The sequence below is a fragment of the Homo sapiens genome, chromosome 9, assembly GCF_000001405.40.
Source record: "Homo sapiens chromosome 9, GRCh38.p14 Primary Assembly".
Lineage (NCBI taxonomy): Eukaryota > Metazoa > Chordata > Mammalia > Primates > Hominidae > Homo > Homo sapiens.
In genome coordinates, this window is record NC_000009.12 from 22120150 (window position 1) to 22128544 (window position 8395).

The window sequence follows — 8395 nt, forward strand, 5'->3', positions numbered from 1 at the left end:
ATAAATATGATTGCCTTCATTTTATTCTTTCCTTGTCTCGTTCTTCCCAGTATCTTACAGACAGCAAGTTGAACATTGTGGGATGCATGAGCTATTGAGGCCTTTGCAGCTTTCTGCTACATGGAGGCTAGGGCCAGAGTCAAGATTTATGCTTTGCAGCACACTGGTCAGCTGTTTTTGCAAATCAGATTAAATGATTTTTAAATGAGGCTGAGAGCATGGGAGATACTAATGTGTGTTTCCTTGTGAGCTACTGCATAAGTAAGTGCTTTGTAAAATGTCAGGGGCTCCAGGATTATATGGTATTACTGTCACTATTGTAAGCACTTCTACCTTTTTTTTCTCCTTTTACAGGTTAGGAAATTGAAATACAGAAAGATGAAAAGTGATTTGCCCAAGCATATAGATCAAAGCTGTGGCAGAACCAGGACTGGAACCTATATCTCTCTACTAATGGTTTTTTTAAAAAAATAACCTTGTTTCAAAAATATTAAAAAGTCACAAGAAAGGTAAACATGTGGATAAACAAAATGAAGAAAATAAAAATTATCCAGTAATAACATATTGGCATATGTCTTTCTGGTATATTTTCCTGTGTTGTCATCATTATCATCTCCATCATCATTATATCCATCATTATCATCATCATCATCATCATCATCATCATTATCATCACCATAGTGAACATGTAATGCTTACCTAGTGCCAGATGCTGTCTAGGCATTTTACATGTGTTACTGGTAACTCATGTAATCCTCATAACAACCTTATAAGGTGGTTGCTATTATCCCCATGTTACATATGAAGAGACAGAAGCATAAAGAAGTTGCACCGCTGGTAATTGGCTGGGATTTGAACTTAAGCAGTCTAACCTTAGAGTAATGATTTTAACAACTATGCTATATACATACAAATTTACAAAATAAAACTGGGCTCAGACAATAAAAACAGCTCTCTTTTCATGTTATAATACTTTTTCACCCCATAACACATAATCACTAATGTTTTAAAGATCAAAACAATGCACATAAAATGTACTGGTTTTAAAAAAAAGAGGAAATAGCCACTTACCTCAACCAAACTAACTTGGAGATAGATTAGATTGATAATGGCAAGGGTGATGGGTAGATGGGTAGAGGTTGCTCAAAAAGAAACACAAAATATATCCTCTTTTAAGGATCCTGATGCTTTGCTCAAAGTAATTTTTATTCTTTTAAAACTAAAAAAAAACTGTACAAAATTCATAGGGTACATAGTGGCGCTTTGATATATATAATGTATAGTGATCAGATCAGGGTAATTCGCATACCCAGTCATCCTATAGTGGGTATAGAACACCAGAACTTATTCTTTCTATGTAGCTATAATTTTGTATCCTTTAACAATTCTCTCCCTATCCCTCCCTTCCCCCTACTTTTCCTAGCTTCTAGTATCCTCTGTTCTACTTTTTACTTCTATGAAATCAACTTTTTCAGCTTCTGTATGTGAGTGAGAACATGCGGTGTTTAGTAGGAAATTTCTGTTCCTGGCTTATTTCACTTAACACAGTGTCCTCCAAGAGCATCCATCCAGGATTTTATTGCTTTTTATGGCTTAATAGTATTTCATTGTGTATATATACCATATTTTCTTTGTCCATTCCTTTGTTTTTGGATGCCTGGATTGATTCTATAACTTGGCTATTGTGAATAGTACTGCAATAAACATGGTCTGTAGATGTCTCTTTGATATAATGATTTTCTTTCCTTTGGATAAATTGCTAGTAATGGGATTGCTCAATCATACCATAGTACTATTCGTAGTTTTTTGAGGAACCTCCATTCTGTCCTCCATAGTGGTTGTACTAGTTTACGTTCCCACCAACAGTGTATAAGAATTCCCTTTTCTCCAAATCCCTGCCAGCATTTGTTATTTTTTTTTTTTTGTCTCTTTGACAATAGTCATCCTAACTGGGGTGAGATGATACCTCATTGCAGCTTCAATTCACATCTCCCTGATGATTAGGGATGTTGAGCATTTTTTCATATATTTATTGGCCATTTGTATGTGTTCTTTTGAGAAACGTCTGTTCAGATCATTTTCCTACTCTTTAATTAGATTGTTTTTACTGTTGAGATGTTTGAGTCCCTTATATATTCTAGATATTAATCTCTTGTCAGATGAGTAGTTTGCAAATATTTTCTTCCATTCTGTAGTTTGTATATTCACTCTGTTGATTACTTCCTTTGCTGTACAAAAGCTATTTGGATTGATATAATCCCATTTGTGTATTTTGTTTGTGTTACCTATGTTTTTAAGGTATTATTCAGAAAATTTTTGCCCAGACCAAGGTCCTGAAGCATTTCTTCTATGTTTTCTTCTAGTAATTCTATTTTTCATGTCTTACATTTAGGTTTTTGATCCATTTTGCAATGATATTTATATAGGGTGAGAGACGGGAATCTAGTTTAATTCTTCTGCATATAGATATCCAGTTTTCCCAGCACCATTCGTTGAGGAGACTGTCCTTTACCCACTGAGTGTTCTTGATATCTTTGTTAAAAATCAGGTGGTTGTAGATATGTGGATTAATTTCTGGGTTCTCTATTCTGTTCTATTGATCTATGTGTCTGTTTTTATACCAGTACCATGCTATTTTGTTTACTATAGCTTTGTAGTATACTTTGATGTCTGGTAGTGTGATAACTCCAGCTTTGTTCTTTTTGCTTAGGATTGCTTTGGCTGTTTGGGGTCTTTTGTGGTTCCATATAAATTTTAGAATTTTTTTTTCTATTTCTGTGAAGAACGTCATTAGTATTTTGATAGGGATTGCATTGAATCTATAGGTTGCTTTGGGCAGCAGATATCTTTCCATTTGTTTATGTCCTTTTCCATTTCTTTCATCAGTATTTTGTAGTTTTAGTTGCAGAGGTCTTTCACCTCCTTGGTTACATTTATTCCTTGGTATTTTATTGTTTTCGTAGCTATTGTAAATGGGATTGCCTTCTTGATTGCTTTTTCAGCTAGTTCATTGTTCATGTATAGAAATACTACTGATTTTTGTATATTGATATCGTATTCTGCAACTTTACAGAATTTGTTATTAGCTCTGAGTTTTTTGGTAGAGTCATTAGATTTTTCTGTATATAAAATCATGTCATCTGCAAACAGGAACAATTTGACTTCCTCCTTTCCAATTTGGATGTCCTTTATTTCTTTGTCTTGCCTAGTTGCTTGGGCTAGGACTTCCATTACTGTGTTGAATAAGAATGTTAAGAGTGGGCATCCTTGTCTTGTTTCAGTTCTTAGAGGAAATGCTAGTGTAGCTGAGGAGAGAAATGAAAACAGAATAAAAACTTCAGTAGAAGTTGGGGAGAAATGTGTTTGCACCAAAAGAGGTGAGGGATGGAACTGAGGGAGGTCTCGAGGGGTAAGAGAGGCCAAAGAGCTGGCAGGTGCTGCTATTAGGATGGCCAATGATCCAGAAGTAATGATGAATGAGAAGATGGATTAAAAAAACCCTGACATTGTTTAACTAGAAGAAGAAGACAGTCAGAGAGAAGTGAGGGCTTACTTTTCATGTTTAAAGTCTGTTATGTGGTAAAGGGATTAGATTTATCTGTGTTGTTCCAGGGGACAGAAATAGGACAAATGGATGCAAATAGAGTGAGGAAGATTTAAAACAAATGGAGAAGACATTCTAAAATCAACTACAATGAGCGTAAACAATGACAACGGAAAGGACTATTTTTGCAATTATGTAGCTCTTGTTCTCTATAGATAGATGTGTAAGCAGACGCTGAATAACCATTTACTGAAAATATAAATAAAAACAAAGCAAATTGCAGGCAATAAATATTGTATTAGTTCTCATTTTGTAAAACTTATACAGGTATCATATGCATAGACAAATACACCAAACTGATGAATATTTGCCTTGTATAATCTTTTTGTAGTTTTTTTATGAACATATATTACTCAAACAATTTAGAACATTTGGCAATATATATATATTTCATTTATAAAAGGTTAGGAAGATTAATTACACTTTCTGAGGTCGCAACTAAAAGCCAAGATTTTAATCCATTTCTATTTGATGTAAAGTCTGGTCTTTTTTCAGCAAACCACAATCCCACATTTTAAGGGCATTAAGAAAGGGATGGGTAGACAAAATGTAGAGGTAGTAGGTACAGAATACAAAGTTTCAAGAAATTAAAAGCTTCTAAACTAACAAACAGCCAATTTGTGGAGTGTCACTGGAAAGTGACAAAGAGGACAGTTAAGTTAGTTGGAACTGAACTGAGGCCAGACAGGGCTGTGGGACAAGTCAGGGTGTGGTCATTCCGGTAAGCAGCGATGCAGAATCAAGACAGAGTAGTTTCTCCTTCTCTCTCTCTCTTTAATTGTAACGCCTTTTATAACAAACAAATATTATGCTTATTTCTGTCTTTAAATTTTTTGTAGTAATTTCTCATCACTTAACCTCTATTTTTTAAAAAACTAACTTTTCTCTTGTTTTTCTAGTTGAGCTATCATTCATATTTATTATGTGGAACTAGAGGTAGTCCTGGCTACTTGGGAACAGCGTGGAGTCTAGCCATGTCAGGGCCAGAAGTCGTCTCAGCTAAGTTAGAATGTGATACCATTGTTTACACAAGTGTGGCCTGCCTTCAAGATAGGGTGAGGTGTTTTATGACCACAGGCTTTATGAGTTATAGCTATAAAACAATCAATCTTTTAAAGCAAACACACCACAATGTCTACACGCAAATGAGAATTGTCCTTCAGGGCTGTGACCTTGGGAAACTCTTCACACATACTAGCATAAAACATATTTAAACTCTTCACTGAAAATATTATTCAGACCTAGTTTCTCTCTCAGTCTCTCTCTATGTTTCTCTCTCACATGTACGTGCATGCACGCACACGTGTGCACACACACATATGCTCACATCATTTTAAGATACATCTCATTTTTAACCAAAACCATTTTATCTTGCTTGATAACCAATTTTATTTGTTAGATGACTTGGCTATAAATGCCTTTGGCTATCAGGAAAATCAAATCAAAATTAAAAGACACTGTTACTACTGAAGAAGTAAAAAAAGAATGGGCTGCTGACTCTGAAGATCATACCCGAAGTAGAGCTGCAAAGATATTTGGAATATTGGTAATATCCAATAAAGAATGACCTTCATGCTATTTTGAGGAGATGTTTAAATGTCGAATTATTGAAATATTTATAAAATACAAATAAACTAACTCTGCTTCATATTCCAACTTGTGTATGACACTTCTTAGGCTATCATTTCATTCCAAATTTATGGTCACTACCCTACTGTCATTCCTCATACTAACCATATGATCAACAGTTGAAAAGCAGCCACTCGCAGAGGTAAGCAAGATATATGGTAAATACTGTGTTGACAAAAGTATGCAGAAGCAGTCACATTTATACAGTAGTGAAGGAAATGTAAATTGGACAAACTTTTTGGAAGATAAGTTGAGAATGTCAAAAATCAAAACACACTTTCTGTTTTATTCAGCAATTATGAGCCCTTTGTTTTACAGCTATGCTCACAAATATATACAAACATGTATGCACAATTATGTTCACTGTGGTATTGCGCTAGAAAAATACTAAAAACAAACCAAATGTTCATCAATAGGGAAATTGTTCAACAAATTACAGTATATCTAAAAAAAGAATAATATATAACAACTGAAAAAATAAAATAGTTGATATAAGCAGATATTCCAAGATCTGCCAGACATATTGTTAAACGAAAAATCTAGATACAAAATTGTTTATAGTTCTCTTTCATACTATAGCCAAAGAAAATTCAGAAAAAACTACTTACAGTTGATCCTTGAATAATGCAGCAGGTAGGGGCACCAGCTTCCTGCGCAGTCAAGAATTGCATATAACTTTTGACTCCCCCAAAACTTTGCTAATAGCCTACTGTTGACTGGAAGCCTTATCAACAACATCAACAGTTGATTAACACTGGAAAAGGAGGGGTTGGTCTTACTGTCTCAAGGGTGGCAAAGGCGGAAGAAAAGCCACCTATAAGTGAACCCTTGAAGTTCCAACCTATGTTTTTCCAGGGCAATCATACATCCATGTCCATATTCATGATGAATATGTGAAAGGGTACATAAGAAAATGTGATAGTCGTTTCCTCTGGAGAATAAAATGAGAGGTCTATCATAGGTGAGAAAATAATTTTTTATTATATATTCTTTTGTAGGTTTATTTTTTTGTCATGTGTATGTATTCTTTTCAAAATAATAAAAACAATAACAACGATTAAAATATACAAGGGGAAATGCATTGGCCAAGGTTTAGTTGAGAGCAAAGTTTGCTTATCTTTCGAAAGAGGTGAACTAAGCTTTTCCTTTTTCTCTTTGGGTATACTTGAATGGGGATGGAGTAAGTGGATTCTTTTTTTTTTTTTTTTTTTTTGAGACGGAGTCTCGCTCGCCCAGGCCGACTGCAGTGGCGCTATCTCGGCTCACTGCAAACTCCGCCTCCGGAGTTCACGCCATTCTCCTGCCTCAGCCTCCCGAGTAGCTGGGACTACAGGCGCCCGCCACTGCACCCGGCTAATTTTTTGTATTTTTAGTAGAGACGGGGTTTCACCATGTTAGCCAGGATGGCCTGGATCTCCTGACCTCGTGATCAGCCCGCCTCGGCCTCCCAAAGTGCTGGGATTACAGGCGTGAGAAGTGAGTGAATTCTAAGGAGTATCGAGAACAGTGATTAAAACAGAAGGTGGGGAGGTGTCATAAGCTTATTTGTAGGTGAAGTATTAAGACTAGAAGAATGACATTATGCATCAAATCTTTTACATTGTTTGATCTCTTTTACCTAAAAACAAAACAAGATACTTTTTTGTTGTTTGACATATGACCAATTAGCAGCCAGTTGGAGCTAAATGTTTTCTTTTTTCTTTTTCTTTTCTTTTTTTAGATGTAGTGTCACTCTGTCGCCCAGGCTGGAGTGCAGTGGCGTGATCTCGGCTCACTGCAACCTCTGCTACCCAGGTTCAAGCGATTCTCCTGCCTCAGCCTCCCAAGGAGCTGGGATTGCAGGCACCTGCCACCACGCCCAGCTAATTTTTGTAGTTTTGGTAGAGATGGTGTTTCACCATTTTGGCCAGGCTGGTCTTAAACTCCTGACCTTGTGATCCACCTGCCTTCGCCTCCCAAAGTGCTGGTATTACAGGCATGAGCCACTGTGCCCAGCCTAAATGTTTTCTTTAAAAGCAAGGTAAGTATGCCTAGATGCACTGCCTCTTAGTAATTTTTGAGGATGGATTATTCATTAAATTGCTTCCCTTTCTCACAGCTGGTGAATTAGAACGATAGTGAGCTTACAAGAGCTTTAACGAGGAAAAGATGGTCATTGTTTAACAGAGAAGGATGGTTTGGGTGAGCATTTTTGTGTTTTTGGAGGGGAACTTTGAGGGCAATGAGTGTTGCACCTGTGTCCACTGAGGATCTCTGGGCGGGGTAAAAGGAAGGCAGGGATGAGAGTGAGGAAGGGAGACAGGAGGGTCCCAAATACGAACTTTGACTTAACGAGGATGATTACTAGAAGGGAAAGATTGTGGATTCATTGATGAGATGTTGAACCATGAAAACTCTAATTGTAGAACTCACTTCAGACTGAATTGACTTGGCTTTCAGTAGCAGAAGCCCTTTGTCTACTTCTCTAGTATTGAAGTGAATGCAAATTTCTCAATGTAAGAAAAGTAGAGTGGTGAAATAAGAGTGTGGGTTCCAGGGTCAGACAACTGGGTGCATAAAAAGGGTAAGGATGCTACAACTGGTAAGCCCTGTGAGAATTATTTAATCCTTCCATGTCTCATTCCGCTCATCTGGAAAATGATGATCATACTAACTTATGAGATGTGTGTACAGACTAGATATAATATTAAAACATTTCTGATACCTATGCATTATATTGGATCAATATATATTTGCAATAAATGATCAACTTTTTATTAATGAAGTTAGTACTTATTTCATAACGAGATTGTTTACTTCTAATTTACTAGTATTGTCATTATTACTGTTGCTGTTATACTGCTACTGCTGTTGCTACTAACTCTTTATGAAGTACCTAATATGCTCTAAGCCTTGCTCTAGGTGTTGTATATGAAGTATTTCTAAACCTGAAAACTATCTAAGATGGCTCAGTCTAGCCCATTTTATAGACGAAGACTGAAGCCAAGAGAGTTGAAATAATGAGTAAAGTTGAGATTTGACTTTGTCTTCCAAACAACTAGAAGCATAAAGCAATGGACCAGGTTCCAAAGTGACAGGGAGGGGCATTAGTTTGGCCCATAGGCTGCAGAGCCTGTGACCACAGAGCCCTATATATTCCAGTGGTGAATTATGTTTGGGAAT

General features: G+C 36.4%; 1 long non-coding RNA gene across 22 annotated transcripts in view; it reads left to right on the plus strand.

The window, feature by feature from the left end:
* The window catches only part of CDKN2B-AS1 (CDKN2B and CDKN2A antisense cis and trans regulatory RNA 1), a 133352-nt gene extending 125359 nt beyond the window's left edge, over nt 1-7993 (plus strand). For 19 of the 22 annotated variants that reach the window (NR_003529.4, NR_047532.2, NR_185863.1 and 16 more), the window contains 2 exons: nt 51-261; nt 355-564. This is a non-coding gene — a long non-coding RNA (CDKN2B and CDKN2A antisense cis and trans regulatory RNA 1). Of the gene's footprint in view, nt 1-50; nt 262-354; nt 949-6953 lie in introns of those variants that run through there. The other 3 variants (NR_185867.1, NR_185859.1, NR_120536.1) reach the window with 2 other exon arrangements.
* Nucleotides 7994-8395: the final 402 nt, after the last annotated feature.